This window comes from Homo sapiens, chromosome 16, assembly GCF_000001405.40.
Source record: "Homo sapiens chromosome 16, GRCh38.p14 Primary Assembly".
Lineage (NCBI taxonomy): Eukaryota > Metazoa > Chordata > Mammalia > Primates > Hominidae > Homo > Homo sapiens.
Window position 1 is genome coordinate 4870175 of NC_000016.10, and position 23230 is coordinate 4893404.

The window sequence follows — 23230 nt, forward strand, 5'->3', positions numbered from 1 at the left end:
GAGCTGCAGCCGGTGGTGACTGTGTTTTGTTCTTCAGCATAGAGGCGCAGACTCGGGAGCTGAGCAGTCAGGTCCGCTCTGGGGTGTATGCCTATCTTGCGTCATTCCTGCCCTGCAGCAAGGATGCCCTGCTCAAGCGTGCTCGGAAACTTCACCTCTATGAACAGGTGGGTGACTCTAGAGTGAAGCCCTTTGGCTTTGGGGTCCTGGCGGAGGGGTGACTGAGTCTTAAGCAATGATGCGTCTGCTGCCCCACTGCCTCCTTGTGATCACCCCATCATGCGTCCTGAGCGTAAGAGCGATGTGTAAACCTGCCTTGAATTGTGTCCCGCTCTTCGCAGGGGGGCCGTCTGAAGGAGCCTCTCCAGAAGCTCAAGGAAGCCATTGGCAGGGCGATGCCAGAGCAGATGGCCAAGTACCAGGACGAATGCCAGGCACACACGCAGGCAAAGGTTGCCAAGTAAGTTTGTCCTGGCGCTTGCAGGTGCAACCCTCCCGTCTTGCCTCTTCCCCTCCCGTTTCTCGGTGTGTACTGCCGTTTCCCAAGGAGCCTCTTGGCTCTTCTTTGGCCTTTTCTCCTTCTCTGTGAAGTCCCAGTAGTGCAGAGTGAGGGGAGAGGCGGTGGGCAGGAGCACCTTGGGGCCCCATGTAATTCTATTCACCCCGTAGGATGCTGGAAGAGGAGAAAGACAAGGAGCAGAGGGACCGGATTTGTTCGGATGAGGAAGAAGATGAAGAAAAAGGGGGCAGGAGGATAATGGGACCTCGGAAGAAGTTCCAATGGAATGATGAGATCAGGTGTGCCCACACTGGGACTTGGCCTCTTTGGAGGGTTGGTGGGGCAGTGTCTGAGCACGTCCCCTATTGCTGACAAAGGTTAGGCTCATTTACTTTCATCAGGGCTGCTGAAAGCACATGATTGGAACCTTGGAGCAGCATCTGAAGTAGTTTGGAGTTTCTGATTTCTGCCTCCTTCTCAGGGAGCTACTGTGCCAGGTGGTGAAGATCAAACTGGAGAGCCAGGACCTGGAGAGGAACAACAAAGCCCAGGCTTGGGAGGACTGTGTGAAGGGCTTTCTGGATGCGGAAGTCAAGCCCCTCTGGCCCAAAGGCTGGATGCAGGCCAGGTGAGGGCCGTGTGCTGAGATGGGCATCTGTGCAGTCAAGACACGTTTGAACGCTGCTTTTGTGCCAGGCCAACAGGATCCTTGCTCACAGGGAGTCACTGTCTAGCTGCCTCAACTCTGATCTCACCTGAGTAACTGGGGGACATGCAGGTAGCTGGGAAAGGGTCTTCTGGATCTTCCCTGGAGGAAGGGAAGTTGCCTCCAGGGTTTTGTTTTTGTCATTTTTTGTCCCACTTCAGTTGATGTTTGGCCTCCCATCTCAATATGCACTTTCCTTTTTTTTTTTTTTTTTTTTTTTTTTTTGAGATGGAGTCTCGCTCTGTTGCCTGGGCTGGAGTGCAGTGGTATGATCTCAGCTCACTGCAAGCTCCACCTCCCAGGTTCACGCCGTTCTCCTGCCTCAACCTCCCGAGTAGCTGGGACTACAGGTGCCTGCCACCATGCCCGGCTAATTTTTTGTATTTTTAGTAGAAATGGGGTTTCACCGTGTTAGCCAGGATGGTCTCAATCTCCTGACCTTGTGATCTGCCCACCTTGGCCTCCCTAAGTGCTGGGATTACAGGCGTGAGCCACCACACCCGGCCACACTTCCTGTTTTAACATACAGGCTGCTATGAGCATTTGAGAGATGGGTTCATCTTGGGTCTTTCCTGATGTTCCTGAAGAAGTGTCATTTGCAGGTAGCAGGGCTGACTCCTTATTGGAACTAAGTGCCAGGCTTCCATCTCAGAGGCTACCTTGTACGAAGTCACTTCCTGCGAATGAAGTATTTGTGTCATACATGGGACAGAGAAAGTTAGCTGGAGTGATTTTCTTGATTGGACTCGAATCATCTGTTGTGCGGATAGATCTTGGAACCTTTGAAATTGCTGTCCTCTCTACGTAGGCTGGACTCATACGAAGAACGTTTTTGTTGAGTTTCTCTGGACAAAGACATGCTGGGTCACTCCACATTTTATTCCTGGAATGGAGGGACTAGGCAATAAGGAAAGTGCTGTGCCCTTTAGGGAAGCATCACCATGAGAGGTTTGAGGCAGAGCCATACATTTTCTTGGTAAAGGCCAGACTCAGCCTTTGGGCAGCCAGTGTGTCCCATTGAGATCCTCTCACCAGGAATTTGGCTCCCCAATCCATTGACCTTTTTTTTTGTGTGTGTGGGGGGTGGGTGGGCATGGTGGGGGGGCGGGGACAAAGTCTCACTCTGTTGCCCAGACTGGAGTGCAATGGCACGATCTCGGCTCACTGCAACCTCCGCCTCCCCGGTTTGAGCGAATCTCCTGCCTCAGCCTCCCGAGTAGCTGGGATTACAGGCGTGCGCCACCACGCCTGGCTAATTTTAGTATTTTTAGTAGAGACGGGGTTTCACCATGTTGGCCAGGCTGGTCTCGAACTCCTGACCTCAGGTGATCCACCTGCCTTGGCCTCCAAAAGTGCTGGGATTACAGGCGTGAGCCACTGCGCCTGGCCAGTTGACATTTAATGAGGGATAGCTACTGAGGACCAGGGACACTAGCAAAGTTCTGGAAGCAGAGTCCCAGCTTTCTGGGGCATGTACAGATGCCTGGTGTTCTGTGTCTTTCAGAACTCTGTTTAAGGAGAGCAGACGAGGCCATGGGCACCTGACTTCAATCCTGTGAGTGTCTTGGTATTTTCACATCTCGGGACAAGTGTTGTTTTTGGTCTCCTCTGGATATTCTCTAAACTTTTCTGTGCTCATTCCTTTGAACAGGGCCAAGAAGAAAGTTATGGCCCCTTCTAAAATCAAGGTGAAGGTGAGTCAGTTTGCTCGGGTCACATGTCAGCTATGCCCATCTCCCTACAACTATGCTCTGGAAACAGTCAAGTGACTGTGGAAGCTCATTGATCTTTGCTCGTCTGGGGACAGCTGCTCAGGATGACATTCTTGAAGTCATAACAGGACAGAGACCCAAGCCACTTAACCCCCCTCTAGCCTTGGTTCTACAAACAGTACCCAGCTGGCCCAGTTCCTGGGGTTCATGTGGGATTAAGTGGGATCTTCTTGGCAGCCCTCTGAGGAGTCAGTAGTCCCTGAAGGTGTGAACGTGTTACACTGTGATCTTTGTATGGAAGAAATACACTCTAGCCAAGTGCAGTTTAGCTTGGAGCCACAGCAGAAAGAAAAGGCGACTTTACTGAGCTACCAGGCAGAAATGGAGGGCAATATAGTGGCTGGAGAATAGACACTGTGAAAATTACCTTAGATGTTGCAGAAACCTCTCAATGTAGTAAAAATTGCTGTTTATCAACATTTTTCCCAGTTCTTAGTGTGGTGCCCTTAGCCATCCCTAAGCAGACCGTGAGAATGAGATGTGCAAATCATTTACTCCTAAGTATCTGTTGAGCTCCCACAATGTCCCAGACACACTGTATTAAGCACCAGGGATGCAGGAGTGAAGGATTAGACCCCATTCCTGTTCCCATGAAAAGCTCACTCTTCTTTGAACCCAGTCTGAGGAGATGGGTGCTGGGAAAAATCAAGAAGGGAAAAATAGCTGCTTTAAGGCAATTCTCATGCCATGCCTTGGTCTGATTGCAGCTAGGAGTGCGCTGAGACAGTGGGAATGCCAGTAGGCAGAGTATCTCTTCACGAGAGTCTTAACGCTTTTCAAAACAGAAGAAAGTTTCTCCTGGCGGCTTGTTTGTACTTAGCAACGAAGCATGCCGGGGTAAACCCAGCCCTGGCCAACCAGATACTCACCAGGGGTGATGAAGTCATGGCATCTAAAGTCAAGGCGGGCACAGCTCCTGCTCTGTCCCACCACTTGTCTTGTAATTATACAGGAAGGCCCAGTTTTTTTGACTCGAGTTCACATGTTTGTATCCTCACAACAGGCCAATGTTGGCATCTTTGGACCTTTCTAAACATCAACATTTCTGTTTTCCTTTAGGAATCGTCTACGAAGCCTGATAAAAAGGTTTCTGTCCCATCAGGACAGATTGGTGGCCCCATTGCTTTGCCCTCAGATCACCAAACAGGAGGCCTGAGTATTGGGGCCTCGAGCAGGGAGCTCCCATCCCAGGCATCGGGCGGCCTTGCTAACCCTCCTCCTGTCAACCTGGAGGACTCATTGGATGAAGACTTGATCCGCAATCCAGCCTCCTCGGTGGAAGCCGTGTCCAAGGAATTGGCTGCATTGAATAGCAGAGCAGCTGGGAACTCTGAATTCACACTGCCTGCACCCTCAAAAGCACCTGCAGAAAAAGTTGGAGGCGTTTTATGTACAGAAGAAAAAAGGAACTTTGCGAAGCCTAGTCCTTCTGCTCCACCACCAGCTAGCTCTCTGCAGTCACCCCTCAATTTTCTGGCAGAACAGGCTCTGGCACTGGGGCAGTCCTCTCAGGAGAAAAAACCAGAGAGTTCTGGCTACAAAGAGCTGTCCTGCCAGGCTCCCCTCAATAAGGGCCTGCCAGAAGTACATCAGTCCAAAGCTAAGCACCACAGCTTGCCACGGACGTCTCACGGGCCCCAAGTGGCAGTTCCTGTGCCTGGCCCCCAGGTCAAAGTCTTTCATGCCGGCACTCAGCAGCAGAAAAACTTCACGCCCCCATCTCCATTTGCCAATAAGCTCCAAGGCCCAAAGGCTTCTCCCACACAGTGTCATCGTTCCCTCCTGCAGTTAGTGAAGACAGCGGCCAAAGGCCAGGGCTTCCATCCCTCTGCACCAGCCACCTCAGGAGGCCTGTCAGCCTCCAGCAGCAGCTCTCACAAGACCCCAGCCTCGTCCTCTTCTGCCCTGAGCCATCCAGCAAAGCCACATTCAGTCAGCTCTGCAGGCTCATCTTACAAGAATAATCCCTTTGCCAGCTCAATCTCCAAACATGGGGTTTCTTCTGGCAGCTCTTCCTCGGGAGGAACACCAGTCCAGAGTTCTGTTTCTGGGAGCCTGGTCCCTGGCATACAGCCTCCCTCCGTGGGACAGGCCACCAGCCGACCCGTCCCAAGTTCAGCAGGGAAAAAAATGCCTGTTTCCCAGAAGTTGACTCTGGTAGCCCCTCCAGGCGGTCCAAACGGAGATTCCAGTGGTGGGACCCAGGGAGTGGCAAAGTTGCTGACCTCGCCGTCCCTAAAGCCCTCTGCAGTTAGTAGTGTGACATCGTCTACCTCCTTGTCAGTGAGTATCTGTCATAGCAGCCTGCCCTGCCCCACTCACAGGGGCCTTGGGGATGAGGTTGCTTGCCTTGCCCCGGGTGGAGAGTGAGATCTAAAACCACAGGTCAGGTAGGAACAGTGGGCTCAGACGTAGGAAGGGAGACTGGGCTCCCTGTTCTCAGGTATTCACTTTTCTGGTGACAGGAAGCCCAGGATGGCCTAAAGCTTCTTCTGAGGAGGGCAGAGGGACCTAAAGGATGGCCAGCACCAAGCACCATGCCTCTTCGGAGGCTGTCTGTGTGGCACAGAATGAGCAACAGCCCTTGCCTTCCGTGACCCCTTGCCTCTCCATCTCTCTAAAGGGGGCTGGAAATGCTGTCTTCTATCAGTTGAGTCATGTGGAGGTGTTCATGGACCAGGAATAGCAGGACCTTCTAAGAGTGATTCTGTTGGTTTTTGAAGGACAGAGTCCAATAATTAATGCATCTCGCTTGTGTGTAATCACAGCAGGTTCGGGAAGAGGGAGTGAGCATTTTCTTTTCTTTTTTTCTTTTTTTTTTTTTTGAGACGAAGTCTTGCTCTTTCACCAAGGCTGGAGTGCAGTGGCGCTATCTCGGCTCAGCGCAAGCTCCACCTCCCGGGTTCACGCCATTCTCCTGCCTCAGCTTCTTGAGTAGCTGGGACTACAGGCGTCCGCCACCACGCCCAGCTAATTTTTTGTGTTTTTAGTAGAGATGGAGTTTCACCATGTTAGCCAGGATAGTCTCGATCTCCTGACCTCGTGATCTGCCCGCCTCGGCCTCCCAAAGTGCTGGGATTGCAGGTGTGAGCCACTGCACCCGGCCTCTTTTTCTAATATATAAATGAAGTGGTTGCAAAGACAAAACCATAGAAAGGTCTGTTGGAGGTCTCACCTCCTTTCCTGCACCCACCACCTCTGTAAGGTAACTAAGCTCTTTAGTTTCTGGTTTATTTTCCTCTTTTTAAACAAAAGATTAATAAATATAAATAAAGGTATATATGTATGTGTGTGTATGTATGTATATAAATATATATACACATATAAATATCCATGAACATTTATGGATATCTATATTACATTTTTCCCTTCACAAAGGAGGCTTTTTTTTTTTGAGACAGAGTCTGGCTCTGTCACCTAGGCTGGACTGCAGTAGCGCGATCACAGCTCACTGCAACCTCTGTAGGAGACATATTTAATATCCTGCTTTTAAAAAAATTATGTTCCCTGGAATCCATTCCATGTTGGTTCATAAAGACTGTCCTGGATCCTGTCTTTGGGGCTGCAGGGTCGGAGGGTGCCTCCCAGGGCCATCTGACATGGATGTGTATGTCCTCCTTTGTGGACACACAAGGAGGATCCTTTGTGTTGCCAGGTTTGGTGTGAGTGAGCCACGAACAGGACTGGAGTTCTTACCGCTTGCTGTGTTTCTTCCCTAGAAAGGAGCGAGTGGGACTGTGCTGCTGGCCGGCTCCTCTTTGATGGCTTCACCCTACAAATCCAGCAGCCCAAAGCTGTCTGGGGCCATGAGCTCGAACTCCTTGGGAATTATAACCCCTGTCCCTATTCCTGTCCATGTGCTCTCCTTCAGCGCTGACTCCTCTGCCAAAGCAGGGGTCTCCAAGGATGCCATCGTCACAGGCCCTGCCCCCGGGTCCTTCCACCATGGCCTTGGCCACAGTAAGTGCTTCTTTGCTGCCTCTGGTCACTCAGGAACCTCTAGATTGTGGCCAGGGGTCCTGCTGTTGTGTACTCTGGTTCCTGTGTTTGAGTCTGGTGTGTGACTGTGGGGAACATCTCCGGGAACTGTGCCAAGCCCCCACTGCCCCTTTGGGTGTGGTGCCCAGACTGGCCTGGCAGGTTATCGGGGGCTTTTGGCTGCTGGAGCTGCTTTCCTGTTCCTGTCTTCAATGTGTGTGTTTTGTTCTTTTCTCCCCTCCTGTTTTCTCTCAGGTCTTCTGGCTGGCTTGCACTCCAGCCCGCCCCATGCAGCGCCTCTCCCACACGCTGCGGTGCCCACCCATATCCCGCAGAGTCTGCCAGGTAATCACCCGACGGTCAGTGTGCCACGCGCACCGTGTGCCTTTGCCCTCTCCACCCCTAGGTGCTTTGCCGCTGCCAAGGGTCTTGGTGTCTTTGCCTTGACGCTGTTGTTGTTTTGGTTTGTCCTTTGAGGCTGTGCTTTGTCAGTACTCAGGGTGACACGCACTTCTACTCTTGGGGTTTCCTCTGGTCCCCACTTGGAGCTGCCGCCAGGTCAGCCTCAGCCTGTGTGATCACAGGGAAAGTTGCGGGGGGCAGGGTGGTGCGCTTTTGTGTGCGGTGGAGGAGTTCCTAACCCTCGGCTTGTTTTTTTCTCTTCAGTTTAAAAAAAAAAAAAAAGGGAAGGTAATGGTGCATCTTCTCCAAGGGCTAATTGGGTACAACAAGGTCTTGGAATGCAAGCTGCTCCACTGTCAGATGTGATTGCTTAACAGAAGGCTCTCTAAACTTTGTTTCCATTAAAGGGAAAATCCAGGTAGCAGCCAGAGGCCACAGTGCAAGACTTTGAGAGGAGCAGCTTTAAATCTGTCCAAGTGTGAAAACTCCATCAGAACAGATTTGTGGGAGCACAGCAGGCATGTGGTCGGTGCTCCCCTTAGCATCTTCTGAAATAGGGAACTTCTAAAAGCCTCAGGCTTGAGGCTGCTCTGGTAGCACCTGAGAACTGGGCTCAGGTGCCCCGGGTTGGTACCTTTGCATTGAGTGCGTCTGCCTCACCCTATCCCGAGTCTGCGATTCTTGGGTACGCCTCCTGGAATTCTGGCATGGGAAGTCTCATGGTGTCTCAGCTTTGACCTAGCATTGTTCCTACTGTAGACCCGCTTCAGACATGACCAGGGTGCTACTTGGATAAGGGGAGAGCCGCTCGTATGGAAGCCAGCCGAGGTAACCCTGGCGAACTGGTGCCAGGTGGAAGTAAGGACCCTCTGTGCTGCACGTCTCCCAAGTTACATCTGCCTCATGATGTGCTGTGGCTCCCTGGCACCATGGCGCATTATAGTAAACACCAGAGGCCATATGGGGCAAGACTAAATCTGTAAATCTCCACAATGGAAACTGTGCTTCTTTGAGGGGCTAAGCCTATAGCACTAGTGACTCCTCCTTTCCTTGGGAGGAGAAGTAAAGTGCAGTGACTTCTCTACAGACTAGAGGCTGCAGAGCCACCTTGGTGAGAGCAGGGGTCTTTCCAAAGTCAGGCTGCCCTGCCTTTGCTTACTCTCAGGAATGTTACTCTCAGAAAAGCAAAGTAATTGAGGCCGGACGCGGTGGCTATCACCTGTAATCCCAGCACTTTGGGAGGCCAAGGCAGGAGGATTGCCTGAGTCCAGGAGTTCAAGACCAGCCTGGGCAACATGGCAAGACCCTATCTCTACATTTAAAGAAAAAAATTAGTCAGGTGTGGTGGCATGTGCCTGTAGTCCCAGCTCTTTAGGAAGCTGAGGCAGAAGGATCACTTGAGCCGAGGAGGTCGAGGCTGCAGCGAGCCGTGGTCATGCTACTGCACTCCAGCCTGGGCAAGAGTGAGACCCTGTCTCAAAAGATTGCTTTCTGCTATATTTTCATTTTTCCTCTGGGTATGAAAAGGCTATCAGAATAGGAAGAATAAGTGCTAGTGTTCTATACCACTGTAGGGTGACTGTAGTTAACAGTAGTATGTAGTTTCAGTTAGGAGGAGGATATTGAACGTCGCCAGCAAAAGGAGATGAAAAACGTTTGAGATGATGGATATGCTAATAACTCTAACGTGACACTACACATTTTAGATGTTGAAACATCACTATGTACCCCATAAAATATGTGTCATTATTATGAGTCAGTTTTTAAAACTGTTTAAGGCTCTCAGAGGCTGGATGTGGTGGCATTGAGAGGCAGGAGGATTGCTTGAACCCAGGAATCAGAGGGTATAGTGTGCTGTGATCATGCTTGTGAATAGCTGCTGTACTCCAGCCTGGGCAACATAGTGAGACCTCATCTCTAAAAAAATTTTTTTTAATCAGTTTAAAAGTTCGAGGAAAAAGAAAATCAATCAGAAAAGCAACTATACCAAAACAGGGTTATCCAAGTGAGCTTCTCTCACTTCCTTAGATGGACTTCAGCTTATAGGATGACACGAGATGCGAGTAAGAAGCTATTTGCGCATTTCAGCTGCGTGACTTGTGTCTGCGTTGCTTTCCTTTCTTTCTTCTGTGGACTGAGAATGCTAGTGCCTTTGAATTTGTCTTTACAGGACCTGAGGGTCTTTTGATGGTAAGAGAATGAATGATCATTGCTGCCTTGAGTTCTGTGTGATCGTCAGGCCTCGCCTCAGGATGGCAATTGTAGCCTGAGATGACGTAGCCCAAGTTGCACAGCAGAGTTGCTGTTCTGGAAACACTGTGCTGAGTGACCACCGACCTTCACAGTGCTAGTGTGCTTGCAGGCTGTGGCCAGGAGTAGTGTACACGAATAACTGCTGGCTGGTGTCTCATGGCTTGTTTGAGCTCTAGAACACTCAGCATTTGGGGACTTTTGCTATTTAGGTGTCTCCCTTGAAGTTTGGTTACTACTGCCTTAAGGAAATCAGAGAGCATGAAAAACTTGCGTTCTAATTTTTCTTACTCTTTTCCAGGTGCTTCTCAGCTTCACGGGAAAGGGCCTGCTGTACCACGGAAATTGTGACCGCTTCAGAGGCAAGGCTTGCCACTTGGGTCTGGGTGGAATCAGAACGTGCAGGTCTCCCAGGATGTACACTCACTGCGCCCTTTCTGCTGCTTGGTGTTCTTCTGGAGGAGCGTGAGTTCTCAGCGGAGCGCTTCTCGGCACTTCTGATGTGCCTCCCATGGAGGGAGCCGGGCCCTTGCTGCTCAGGAGGTGCAGACTGCCCCGTGCTCTGGGCCTTGCAGCTCTGTCGCTAGACGGTTGTTAGAGGGGCAGCTCTAGGCTGGGGCTTGCGCTGGGCCGTGGTGGGAGGCACAGTGTTTACAGGCTCTGGTGGCAGAGCAGTTGGCACACCTGTGGGTGAATCTGCCTGATCCCCTGGCATTTGGTCAGAGTACCTCAGAGCACCCCACTGCTCAGGGGCTCCTTCTGGCTGCAGTAAGCTCCCTGGATGGTCACAGTGCCGCCCCATCCCCAGGCTGTGTGCTCAAAGCGGACAAAACTCAGGCCAGAGCCACAGCTGGGAGACCTGCACTGTCCCTGCGAAATACTAAGAACACCTAGGGTGTGCTCACTGTGGGGGCCAGTTTCTCCTCGGAACATGACAATGAAGCTCTTTTAGAGAAAAGACCTTTGTAGATTCAACAATTATGATAGGATTTTTACAGACACCTATTTTGGGCTCAGTTTTCATCATTACCATTAAATGCATTGGATAGAAGGGGACTGTTCTTCACACATCATATTATAGGAAGACATAATTCCAGTGCCTTTATGGTGGAGCAGAATTCGACAACACATGTCCATTCAGCCCTCTGAATGGATCTGAGACGAAGACCTTTTTAAAGATATGTCTGTATTGAAGAGAAAGCCAGTTTTGAGTTTTTTACACTTGCACATCATTATCTGTGCCGTCCTGACTAGAAGGTTGTCTGGGCCCCCAAATTCCAAGTCCCAGTATAGCCAGGGCTCCCATTTTGTTTTTCCAGAGTTCGTGGAGGTGGACTGCAGAGCCCAGAGCCCTTCATCTCTCTGAGGGTCAAGGATACCAGGGGTCCCAAGTCACAGATAGACATTCCAGTTTGTATTCTTAGGAATCATTCTTAGGCAGTGCGGCAGAAGCAGGCCTCTGTGAAGTGTCTGCCGGGTAGAAATAGGCCTTGAAGTCCTGGGGCTCTCCAGGCAGTGGGGTTATGTGTCGACTGAAGGGTGATGTGCAGAAGAGCTTGGAGAGTGGATCAGAGAGACTAGGACAGTTACTGCAGAGCTCCTAAGTCACCACTCAACCAGTGGCTGTTTCACAAGGATTTGAGGGCACTTGCCTGTCTTGTGAGGTCTGTGCCACAAGGTGAGTCTGAACTGACTGCTCCAGCTAAGTGATCAGGCACGTTGAGAGTATACGGTGTCCTCAGCACATACACCTGTGGGAAAACGGACCGCTCTTGGCTCCTGACTCCCAGGGTACAGCGCCCAGTAACTCATCCTTCATTCAGAGGTTTGCTGGCCTTCCCGGTTTCCCAAGGAGCAAGACCTCTGTCCGCCCTTTGGCCCGGCCTCTGCTCTGTCTCCTTTTTTTACATAAGAACCAATCCGTGTTTCACATTGGGCTAAGTGGATTCCTTATCCCTTTGTTATATATATTTTTTGCAACTTGGATTTCCAGTTTGTTTACAGAGTAGTCTTAGGTAGTAGCAAAAGAGCCAAAGAAGAGATTTGTATTGCTGAGCTCAAAGCCAAGCAGAGGCCGGCAGTGGAGGCTGAGCAGGGACTCTCCAGGCTTCTCTGCCCATAAACACCCGGGTCCCAGGCCCTCCTTCCTTTCCCTTTGGTGCTCCCTCCTCCCCACGTACCATTGCGCGTGCAGCTGGAGCAGAATACCCTCATTTTTAGGAATCTAGTGATGCCTCTTGCCTCAGGGAAACGTTTCTTTGATGGGGAGTTTGAGATTTCTTTTCCTTGTTTATGCTTTATTTGTGGTAATGAAAGAGCGAATGACTGAACAGCCATGGCAAGGCAGACCTACAGGCGAGGCCGCAGCAGAGGGTGGGGCAGAGCAGCCTCGGGGTCTGGGGGCTGCAGGGGTTTCCCTGGCGCAGCGAAAGTCTCTGAGCACTTACCGGGCGTGACCGTTTCTTAGGTGTGAGAGGGGCTGTGGCTTTTGTGCAGCGACTATGTTGGTGTTAGGGGTGGTGTGGAGATTGTTAATCTTGTATAAAGCAATTCAATAAATTGTTTCAAGGTTTCCAAAACATTTTTTCTCACTCTTTTCTTTCTACCATGTGGAAGTAAGTAGTTCTTCCTGTAGGAGCTGTTACAGATGGAATATCCATTTTGGCTGAAAGCCAAGGGGGGGGGGCGGGGGAGTAAGCCTTGCATGCAAAAGAAGAAACATGTGGACCGTACAAGCAGACTCCAGCCACCAGGTTTATTTTCATGCTATAAATAAATTTCCCTATTAGTTCCCATTTTCTTATGTTCTACATGAGATACAGAGACCCAGATATTGGCGTGGTGAATAATCAACTGTTTTGTATACCTAAATACCAGTGAGATAATAAGCGAGACTTGTAAAGCACTGAAACTAAGGCTAACAGCAGCACAATCCACTATCAAAGGATTTAAATGCCAGAACTGTGAAACATTCTCTGTAGGTGCCGGGACAGTCTGGTGGCTGACAATTAACGTCCACTCCAGCACCGAGGGCTGGACACTTGTGGTTTCTGTTCACCTTTCCTGGCTTGGAGCCCAGATCTGTCTCATGAGCAGAGTAACTACTGAGGAGGCTTCTCGGATGGAAAGTTGGTTTTAAGCCAGAAATCTGGAGAGATGTCATGCCAGGCAGCAGCCCCCACGGGCCCAGGCCTTTGTGGGGCAGTGTCACTGTCTGGTGTGCCACCAGTACCCATGCTGCAAGGAGTGGGCTTGGCTGCTGTGGTTGGCTTGTCCTTCAGTGGTTTTCAGATTGTGTGCAGTTATCATGAGGAGTTTGTTGCTGGGAGTGTACAGGAAAAGGGAGGAAAAGGCATCGCAGTTGTCCAGTCATTGGAGGATGAAGTACGTCACTCAGGGTGAATGATGGTTGGGACGAGAGTTGCCTGTCTTCAGCCAGTGCCTGTCTCATATGTGGGCGGGACTCTGAGCAGCCTGGCAGCGAGGGTATGTATAAAATGCTTGGCCTGCACCAGGGCAAGGGAGAGGACGACACCAAGGAGGTCACTGCGTCGTAGGAGAGGGCCAGCGTCTGCCGTTACGAAGAGTTGCAAGAGCTGTGCCTACTTCTGCCCAGATACCAAGACCGCCAGCTCCTGGATGGACATATCCTTGTTGACATAGCGGTCATACTGAGCAGGGGTCAGCCTGCCACTCTGCAGGGCCTCTTCGATGGAGAACTTCTTGCCAGACTTCCTGTCGTGTATCACTGAGGACTCCCCATTGGGACCCTTCACTGAGATCTCCTCCCAGTCGCACTCCTGGCTTCTGAGTTTCACGAACATGTTCCAGTCAATGAGCCCGGCACGGTGGGCTTCCTCCGGGGACAGCTCGCGGCCTGTGTCAGGGTGGATGACTACGATGGAGCGCCGCAGGTGGTTCTCCCGCTGCTCCCGCTTGACGGCCACGGAGCCCAGGCGCTTCTGCAGCTCGTCGATCTCGAGGTCTTTGTCCTTGGAGAGCCTCTTGAGGTCATCCAGTTCCCTCTCCAGGGACCACAGTCTGGAGTCATGGTTGGTCCCAGAGTCCGCCACGGTCATGTTCCGCAGGTCTCGTGTTTCCGTCGCTGCCATGTTGATTTCCGATTGGAGCCTTCGGGTCTCCAGCTGCAGGTTTTGCCTCTCCAGCTGTAATTTGTGGTTCTCTTCCCTCAGAAAGTCTAGTTCCTTGGATGACTTGGAGTTATGGAATTCCAGCTCCGAAAGCCTGGCTTCCAGCCGGCTCACCTCGACGTCCAGCTCGCGCTTGCTGCGGCTCTCCTCCTCCAGGCTGCTCTTGAGCCTCTGGATCTCTTGCTCGGTGTCGCCCTTCTCCACCTGGACACTCTCGGAGAGCACCACCTTCTCCTTGACCTCCGCCTTCTCCAGTGCAGCCAGTTTCCTCCGGAGGGTCTCGAGCTCCCCCTCCAGGAGCTGCCGCCGGTGCTGCTCTTCTTCCAGCTGGAGTCGGAGCAGGGCATGCTCTCGCGCCTGCTGCGGGTCCTGCTGCAGCACCACCTTCTGCGTATGGGTTACCTTCTCACGGGCCTCAGCTTCTTCCTGCTCCAGCGCTGCCAGCCGCTGCTGCAACCGCTGTACCTCGCGCTCGGCCTCCCTGCGGGCCTGCCGCTCGCGCTCTAGCTCCTCCAGCTGCCGCTCAAGCTCGGTGCGCCGGCGCTGCAGCCGCCGCAGCTCTGCCCGCAGCTTGTCAATCTGCCGCAGCTCCACATCGATGCTCTCGGCAAAGGCGCTCGCCTCGGCCCGCAGGCCTGGCTCCTCCTCATACCTGACCACCTCCTGCTGCACCACCCTTTCCTTCACCCGCGAGAGCTCCTCCTCTTTCCGGGCGATCTGCTCTTCCTGGGAAGCTCTTTCCCTCTCCAGATCCACTTGTTTCTTCTGCTCCTCTGAGAGCTTTGCCCTCAGAGACGCCACCTCCTCCTTGGTTTGAGGGTCTTCTTGGAATTGGAGGATCTCCTGGACCACCTCTTTGGTCTGGACCTGGGGTTTGGTGTCTTTCAGGGCCTGGATTTCCTTTTTCAGCTGGTAGATCTCTAAATCACACCTTTCGATCAGTCTGGTCTTGTCCACGATCTCCTCCCTGAGCCGCTGAAGCTCCTTCTCCATCTCAGGGTCAGTCTTGTACTTAATGACTTCCTTAGTCACCTCTTTGACTTCCACCTGGGGGCCTCGCCTCCTGAGGGCCTCCAGCTCACTCTGGTAGCTCCGGAGCTGCTCCTCGGCACCCCGGTACTTTCGCTCCTGCTCCACAAGCTCCAGGCGGAGGTTCGCCACTTCACTTTCCGCCTTGGGGTCTGGCCGCACGATCTCCCGCACCTTCTCCTGCACCACCACTTTGGCGTTCTCCTCCTCCAAGGCCCATATCTTTCGGAGCAGCTCCGTCTTCTCCCTCTGGCTAGCGCGAGCCTTGGCAGCCTCGTCCTCATATTGGCGGGTGAGATCGCTGACCTCCCTCTCGGTGGCCGCGTCCTTCTCCACCTTGAGCACCTCCTTGACGGTGATCTTGCCCTCGGCCATGGCCCGCTCCTTCTCTAGCCTCTTGAGCTTGTCCTGGAGGAAGCTCAGCTCCTCCTCCTGCTTCTCCCTGAGCTGGTCCTGGCGCTGGTGGTCCTCCTGCAGCTGCTGGTACTCTGCCTCCAGCTGGGGGTCATTCTGCAGTTTCACCACCTCTTTCTCTGTGACCTTCTCCTGCGCCCGGCTCTTCTCTTCAGCCAGGGCGGCCACACGCTGCTGCAGGAGGAGCACCTCTGCCTCCCGGGCGCCCTTCTGCCGCCTCAGTGCCTCCAGCTCCTCCCGCAGCTGCAAGACCTCATCCGCCTGGGCCCTGTCAGGCTCGATGCGCAGGACCTCCTTGACCACGTACTCCTGCCCCCCGTCTCTGGTCTCCTGCTCCAGGGCACGCAGCTGCAGCTGCAGTGCCTCCAGCTCCTCCTGCAGCAGCTGGTTCTTGTGCTGCTCCTCTGCCAGCGTCCGCTGCAGCTGCTGGAAGCTCTCCTCCAGCACGGGATCCGGCACCTTCTTGAGCACCTCCTTCCTCACCACCGATTCCTGAGGCCCCTGATTCCTCAAGGTCCAGATTTCTTCCTGGGTGCTCTTGACCTCGTTCTCCAGCTGCCGCCTCCGCTCAGTCTCCTCATCCAGTTCCTTCCTGATCTTCCACGCCTCCTCCACTCCAGAGTCCGGCCTATTCCTTTGCAGGGTCTCATGGGTCACTTCTACTTCCGGCTGCTGTGATGGAGAAGACAAGACAAGGTTAAAGCCAGGCTCTGGCAGCACATGTAGGGCCTGTCCCCACCTGGTCAGAGTGGCTGTCCTGTGGTCCCCAAGGGACTCCCTCAGTGCCAGTTCATGTTAGTTGTAGAGTTCTAGGGTTACTTTCAAAAAGGATCAAACAACTAGTTTGGGGTTTTTTTTAATCAGGTAAAACATTTTTGAGCTGTGGAAGAGTTTAAAATGAAACCACGGTCTCCCACCTCTGGTCCCCGTCCTAGGGCGTGTCTGTCAGCCTTGCAGATGCTATCTGTGCTCACACAAGAATATCTGTCTGTAGTATGTACCATGTGTTTATCTCTCCTGCACAAATGGTATTCCTGCTGCTCACTGCACTTACAGAGCTCATTCCAGCTCAGCACAGAGAGTGCTGCTTCAGGATTTACCAGCAGCATTGTTTCCGCTCTCTGGACAGACCGCAGTTTAGCCCATTGCTGATGAAGAGTGAACTGCTTCCAGTGTCTTGCTATTAAAAAACAATGCTGTCATCAACATCATGGACTTCAGAAAATAACATTCACTTTCTTTTGTTTCTTTCTTTTTTTCTGAGACAGAGTCTCGCTCTGTTGCCCAGGCTGGAGTGCAGTGGCACAGTCTCAGCTCCCTGCAACCTCCACCTCCTGGGTTCAAGCAATTCTCCTGCCTCAGTCTCCTGAGTAGCTGGGATTACAAGCATGCGCCACGACGCCCAGCTAATTTTTGTATTTTTAGTAGAGACGGAGTTTTACCATGTTGGCCAGGCTGGTCTCGAACTCCTGACCTCAGGTGATCCGCCTGCCTCGGCCTCCCAAAGTGCTGGGATTACAAGCGTGAGCCACCATGCCCAGCTGAAAATAGCATTCACTTTCAGCAGATGTTTACTGAGTTGAATAAGTTCTCATGTCAGTAGAAGCATTGGCTCGGGCCAGTCTTTGCATTGGCCCTGCCCAGAAACGTTAGCAAGGGGACACTTCCATCAATTCACAAACCATTTCTCTAAGACAGAGTCTGTATTTGTCACCTGTTAGAACAGCCTGAAGTAGAATTTCTTACTAAGATCAGTTACCTGTCTGAGGAGATTCAGAGCAAACTCCAGATTCTGCAGCCTCTGTCTGTTGATGGCATAAACTTCAGTGAACTTGGCGGCAAGTGCTGCTTCCTGCAGAGAAGAGGATTAGGAGAGCGGTCAACAAACAGGTGTCAACAGGGTAAGCAACAGAGAGCTAGACAGCGTGGACGTGGTTCTTGAGAAGTGTGGAATTTGGGGGTAGAGGCATAGCTCTTGCCCACTCCTGCCTGGAGTTAGACTGTAGCCTCACCGGTGGAGAGAAAAATGGATCTCGAGGCAGAAGATCCAGGCCAGGGTCTTGGCCACACTGACTTTGAGCAAGTCTTTCTGCCTCTTAGAGCACCAGTGTTCTCTCTTGTGTGTACAGGAGACTAATATCAGCCCTCCACTGTACTTACTGAGGTGAGCAAAACAGGAACTTCCCAGATCCATGGTTCTGACCCTGACACTTCTGTTCAGCTGCATTTTCAAAAATTTTTATTTCTTAAAGACAGAATCTCTTTCACTCAGACTGAAGTGCCATGGTGTGATTGTAGCTCACTGCAGCCTTGAACTCCTGGGCCCAAGTGATCCTCCCTCCTCAACCTCCCAAGTAGCTGGGACTACAGGTTTGCACCACCACGCCTGGCTAATATTTTTGTAGATATGGGGTCCTGCTTTGTTGCCCAGGCTGGTCTCCAACCCCTGGGCTCAAGCAGTTCTCCCACCTCGGCCTCCCAAAGTGCTAGGATTACAGGTGTGAGCCACTGCGCCCGGCCTTGCTGTCTTTCTAGGCATATTGATGTCACTGCCCTAGAACAAGTTCCTCATCTCTTACCAAACCTGTTTGCATGCAGGAGGGCTCTCAGTGGCTTCCCTGTTGTGTGTGCATCTCTGAGGCCAGCGTGTGACACCATGCTCCCTGGGGAGCAGGGCAGCTTGGCCTCCACCTCAGTCCCGAGGCCGCCTGGCCCATGGAACTCACCTCTTCCTTCACTTTGGTGGCAGGAGATTGGAGCCTGGCTCTCTTGCTCACGTGGCTTCTCCTTCCATTCTCCAAGTCGAGAAGAGACCTTAGTTTTTCTGCTTCTAACTCATAGTCCTGCATGAGGGAGAGACATGGCAGAGGGGAGATTAAAACAGCTGAGAAGAGACAGACATGTTCCTGTACCCCTTCAGGCTGACCCAGACCTGCCCTGTGCCATGTGCTGGTTTTATAATCTGCGTGGGTCTTCCTCACAGCTGCACCCTGCAGTGATTTCCAGGAGGTTTTGAGAATTACTGATATCTCAGCAGTACATAGCTCCATCACTCAGTAACATATGAGACAAGAAGTGCCCCCTGAATTCCCCTCCCAGCCTTTCTACATGCCTAGAGATTTTCACATTCTGCTGCTGCTTTTAACATCGTACCATAACCCTGTCTCACCTTGCCACCACCTCTTCTCATGTTTACCAGCTTGCTGACTTTATAATCCATCAGGTGGATGTGTGCTGATTCACGCAGCTTTCCCCTTCCACTGGACACCAGTCCTTTCCAGCGTACTAGTTTTGCTATTGTAAATAGTGCTGTTGCAACAATGTTGTTTATCCTGCATTTTTTTTTTTGTACTTTTTCCTTAAGGATAAATTCCCCCAAAGTGTTTACTGCTTCAGAGTATAAAACCCTTTTACAGCATTCCATGTCTAGTACCATGCTGTTTTCCCAAAAGCCTGTGCCAGTTTGCACAGCAGCCGGCAGTGCCTCGGATGGCCAGCTCCACCCCCATGTGCCAGGGCCGGTGCTTGCTGCTTCTCTGACCAGGGCACGGTGGAATAAGACCCCTGCTGTTTGTGCTTTGGGCGGAAGTTTCCCGGCTCACCTTTACAGCTTGCTGGTACTGCTGGGAATTGGCACAGATCTTCTGTACTTCCTGCTCCCTACTTGCTATCTCATCTAGCAGGTTCTGTAAGACAGAGTTTAAAAATCAAAACTAACCAGAAAAAAAATTTAAAAAAGCAACCATGGATGCAGTAGCTGGAAATCTCAGAATCTGAATTTATTCTTCTCTAGCACAAAGTATGATGAATGGCTCCCTTGTATACATTTTTATTCATTGCAAAAGGCAGTTTTTTTGTTGTTGTTGTTTTTTTTTTTTTTTTTTTTTTTTTTTTTTTTTGAGACAGTCTCACTGCATCGCCCAGGCTGGAGTACAGTGGCGCGATCTCAGCTCACTGCAGCCTTAGCCTCCTGGGTTCAAGCAATTCTCCTGCCTCAGCCTCCCAAGTAGCTGGGACTACAGGCTCCTGCCACCATACCCAGCTAATTTTTTTTTGTATTTTTAGTAGAGATTTGGTTTCATTATGTTGGCCAGGCTGGTCTTGAACTCCTGAACTTGTGATCCTCCTGCCTCAGCCTCCCAAAATGCCGGGATTACAGGTGTGAGCCACCGCGCCCAGCCACAAAAGGCAGTTCTAAGGCTCTGTGAAGAAGGGCCAAGATCATTATCTCTGCTAGGAAACAAATGTTTACTGATGATTTGGACCACCAGACACTGTTCTGCTGTCTGACTTAGATTATCTCATTTAATCTTCAAACGATGCCAGGAGGTAAGCATCGTGACCTCCAGCTTATGAGTGAGGAAAGCTTCTGAGGTGGGGATGTGGCTGATGGGGTGGACCCGGGATTTGCATCTCAGCCATTGGCTTCCCGTGTTCCTCCCTCACCCCAAGGCACTGCGTTGGGCATGGGGGAGGCAGGAGTCCCAACTTTGAAAATGGGATTTCCCCCACAAAGGCGGCTCCTCATTCTGTAGCTGTTCACTCACATAGCCAACCCACGCCAAGTGTCCATTCTGCACCAGGCCCTGTGCGGGGCACTGAGCTGGGAGAGGTGAGCGACACACTCGGTTCTTGTTCTCAGAGGGTTGGGTGTTGGGAGCTTGAGCTGAGGCCCAGGGAGGACACAGCTGTGGCAGGCCTCTGCCCTGCTCCACCTCCCAAAGGCTTGGCTCCCCAGAAAGGGGCTTGTTGACCTCTGACCCTCCCTTGCCAGTGTGTGCCTGGGGCTGCGGAAACGGCCATCTCACCTTCTGGTTCTTCAGCTTGGTCTCCATCTGGCTGAGGCTGTCTGTCTCCTGGGGCTCGTAACTGGGGATGCTGACTAGGAACTGCAGCACGTGGTCATGGCCGCGGTGGAAGTGCTCGTAGGCTGCCTTGGCGCTCTGTAGGCTCTGCGCCCTGTCAAGGCAAAGCGTTCAGGCCTCAGCCACAGCAAACAGATGCCTCACCGAGCCCTCATTTTTTTTTTTAAAGTGGGAAACAACCAAATGTAACAACCAGAAATACCCCAAGTATCTCCCACACAGGGTGGGTGGTCATTAGGGAACGTCAGGTTGGACTGTGGAGAACCAGGTGGGTCCATATACATTGACTTGCAGAGATGCCCATTGTGGATTACAGGACCCAGGTAAGCATGACTCAAAAGAGAGACCACAGGGCCGTCAGAGAATCTGACGAACTCACCAAAAAGAAAAACAGCAAAATCTGTGGGACACGGCTAAAGCATTGCTTAGAGGGAATTAGATCGCATTCTCAGAAAACAAAAATGGCCACCACCCACCGCACCCTCACCTGCGTTCCACCTGCTGGCGCAGGTTGTTGAAACGCTGGCCCAGCTTGTGCACCTCGGCCTCCTGGCGCTCCAGGTCCGGACAGTGCTCCTGGAAGCGGCTGGCCAGTGTGCTCGAGCACTGCTTGGCCGCCTGCAAGTTCTGCTCCACCTCACCCAGGAGGGACTTCTGGGCCTGTAACTCACAGGCCATGGCCTGGCGGGGCAGAGGAGGAGACGGCGGTGCTACGGCCAGAGCTCCCAGAGCCAGGCGATGACACCCACTGAAGCCCCTGGGCCACTGACTGTAGGAGGGTGGGCAAGGCCACAGGTAGGAAGGACCGGAGCCTTGCTCTGTACATCCCAAACCTGGGTCACTTCTGCCATCTTCTGTTTTTTAACAATGAACAAAGCCCTGAAAAGCTAACTTCTAAAAACCCTGCAGCAGGCAGCTCGTGCCCTGCGCGAGAACAGCCTGCCACTGTCTGGTCATGAGGCTGTGGCAAAAGCAAGTCGTGAGATGGGAGTGTGAATAAGGGGCCTCAGGTCACAGACTTGAATGTTTCCTGTGCTCAGGCAGTGTGGGAAGGGGGCCCGTGGCAACTGCGAGGTAAGCAGGCCGAGAAGGCAGCTGCTCCTCTGCCCACTGACTTGCCCTCTGAGCTGCAGCCCAGGATGCCAGCTCTGCTCAGCAAGAGATACTGGGAACATGGATTGTTATGTGCTTTATGCTTTTTTTTTTTTTTTTTTTTTTTTAAGAGATAGGGTCTTGCAACGTTGTCCAGGCGGCTGGACTTAAACTCCAAGGCTCAAGCAATCCTGCCCCAGCCTCCTGAATGGCTGGTGTTACAGGCATGTGCCACTACACTGGCTATTGCAGATATTTGATCTTAAAATGCTGGCACCCGAAATCCCGTAAGTCACACAGATCCCGTGAATAGCTTGGATTTGTGCTGTGGGCCTCCATTTGCAGTTCCCAATTTGGGCATTCCAAACCTGGGGAGACTGGATGCTGGTGTCCTCATCTATCCAGACGGGCGGGTGGATGTGCCAGATGCTCTCACCTGCTCAGAGAAGGACTCCCAGGACTTGGGCCCTAGACTCACCGCCAGCTCCTGCCCCTTGCTGTCCAGGACACGGCTGCTCTCAGGCACTGTGTCATCCTGATTCAGATGGTTCTCGTGTGTGGCCAGCAACTCCCAGCTCTGCTGCAGGCTCTTCTCCAGGCGGTTGGCCACATCAACCCTGAGAGCACCAATCAGGCGTCGGGGGATGCCCACCTGGCCCCCTGACCCCACCCCAACCTCCATGCTGCCTGTCTGCCACCCACTTCTCCTGGGCCAAGTCCAGCAGCTGCAGGAGGTGCTCGTATTTCCGGTTGGTGTCCTCCACCCGGGTCCTCAGCAGGGGTGTGGTGCCACTGCCTGGGAGGGCCTGGATGAAGGCTTCGCCCTCAGCCGTGCTCCGCGTCTTCTCAGGTTCAATCCGCAGTAGCTCGTTGGTGATGTTCTGTGGGAACCAGGGCCCCTCAGTTTTGGACACAGCCAGGCAGCCCCTTCCCCTGAGGATGTGCCCAGGGTGAGCACAGATTCCCACATCAGGCACAGTGGAAGCAGCTGGAGAGGCCTGGCACATTCTGGGGCTCTGACCCGGCATCTGGACCCCAGCCTGAGGGCTGTATTTTTCACGAGCATCCCAGGGAACCGCTGAGGTGGAATGGACTAGTGACACCAGAAGCACCCAGGCAGCTGCCGGGCCTGTGCTGTCCTCAGCACTGCACGCGGACGCTTCTGTTTAATCTTTGCGGCAACCCCGGGAGGTGAGTACTACGACTCCACCCAGTCACGGGTGGGGGTGTGACGACTCCCAGCAGCTTAGGAAGGGACTTGTGGGGTCAGGCTACACCCGAGACCGGCATCCTCTCGCCCTGACTTGGCTCTCACTCTGAGGCCCCATCAGGGGCTATGGCACTTCTCCAATCCCAGATCCTCTTCTGTAAAATTGGAGTGCTACTCACTGCCTCAGAGGGCTGCCTTGAGGATGTGGGAGACTTTGTATAGGAAAGGAGGTGGGGGGAGGTGGCCCCTCCACGTCCCCCCTGGCATCAGCTCACCCTGTCCTCGCCACTGCCCTGTGAGCAGGGCCAACCCATCCTACTGAAGACACTGAGGCCTGGAGTTTATAAATACAAACGCTAACGTGTTTGCAGTCAAGCCAGCCGGTGACCCAGTCCTGCGGAATTCCACAGCCCATGTGCCATGCCAGGCGTCAGATCGACAAGCCGTGCAGGAACAATGCAAGTCCTGCCAGCTCTTTCTCCTGGGGAGGTAATGACAGCAGCCCTGCCACCTCCATGACTTGGGACCCTTTTACATGCAGCAGGCTGTCCCTGACAGACAGCTGCAGTGAATATCCCAAGACTCCATGGGGAAAAGACCTCAAATAGGGGCCCCAGGGGGCCAGTGCAGGGCTCCCCCGGCCCCACCTGTGCTCCTGACCCGCAGGTACCTTGAGGTCCTTGGCCCGCTCGGCACTGTCCTGCACAGCCCGGCCTTGCTCCAGTGGTGGCCGCAGGATCCCTGTGATGGCCTTCTCCTGCCGGTCCAGGTCGCTGGCCACCTTGTCCAAGCCAGCCAGCAGCTGCCGCCCCTGTAGGTCAGAGGCATCTGTGGAGGGAGGGAGGACACAGGCAGGTGTGAC

General features: G+C 52.7%; 2 protein-coding genes across 21 annotated transcripts in view, besides 3 other annotated features; one reads left to right on the top strand and one right to left on the bottom strand.

Annotated features, from left to right (window-relative positions):
• Positions 1-12227, top strand: part of UBN1 (ubinuclein 1) — a 34921-nt gene extending 22694 nt beyond the window's left edge. For 3 of the 17 annotated variants that reach the window (NM_001079514.3, XM_047434037.1, XM_047434042.1), the window contains 10 exons: positions 38-167; positions 342-460; positions 670-798; positions 981-1127; positions 2710-2760; positions 2857-2899; positions 4037-5260; positions 6697-6937; positions 7211-7300; positions 9909-12227. In NM_001079514.3, coding sequence (NP_001072982.1) covers positions 38-167; positions 342-460; positions 670-798; positions 981-1127; positions 2710-2760; positions 2857-2899; positions 4037-5260; positions 6697-6937; positions 7211-7300; positions 9909-9958 — 2224 coding nt within the window. In that variant the 3' untranslated portion in view covers positions 9959-12227. 17 annotated transcript variants of the gene reach the window in all.
• Positions 624-809: a silencer, noted in NCBI's record as "fragment chr16:4920799-4920984 (GRCh37/hg19 assembly coordinates)". NCBI's record gives its function as "represses an EF-1alpha promoter that drives an FKBP-Casp9 reporter gene in an ReSE screen in HepG2 liver carcinoma cells {active_cell/tissue: HepG2}" and the evidence as "EXISTENCE:reporter gene assay evidence [ECO:0000049][PMID:32094911]".
• PPL (periplakin) overlaps positions 12333-23230 on the bottom strand; it is a 54642-nt gene continuing 43744 nt past the window's right edge. For all 4 annotated transcript variants that reach the window (NM_002705.5, XM_017023375.3, XM_006720902.5 and 1 more), the window contains exons 14-22: positions 23039-23196; positions 21861-22039; positions 21637-21775; positions 20554-20747; positions 20010-20160; positions 18804-18887; positions 17928-18044; positions 16961-17053; positions 12333-15873 (exon numbers count right to left, since the gene is read on the bottom strand). In NM_002705.5, the coding sequence (NP_002696.4) occupies positions 13210-15873; positions 16961-17053; positions 17928-18044; positions 18804-18887; positions 20010-20160; positions 20554-20747; positions 21637-21775; positions 21861-22039; positions 23039-23196 (3779 nt within the window). In that variant the 3' untranslated portion in view covers positions 12333-13209. The remainder of the gene's footprint in view (positions 15874-16960; positions 17054-17927; positions 18045-18803; positions 18888-20009; positions 20161-20553; positions 20748-21636; positions 21776-21860; positions 22040-23038; positions 23197-23230) is intronic.
• Positions 14001-14201: a silencer, noted in NCBI's record as "peak2474 fragment used in MPRA reporter construct". NCBI's record gives its function as "represses an SCP1 promoter by STARR-seq MPRAs in K562 erythroleukemia cells {active_cell/tissue: K562}" and the evidence as "EXISTENCE:reporter gene assay evidence [ECO:0000049][PMID:32103011]".
• Positions 14960-15460: an enhancer, noted in NCBI's record as "H3K4me1 hESC enhancer chr16:4935135-4935635 (GRCh37/hg19 assembly coordinates)". NCBI's record gives its function as "activates a minimal SCP1, AML or CMV promoter by ChIP-STARR-seq in primed H9 embryonic stem cells {active_cell/tissue: H9 hESC(primed)}" and the evidence as "EXISTENCE:reporter gene assay evidence [ECO:0000049][PMID:30033119]".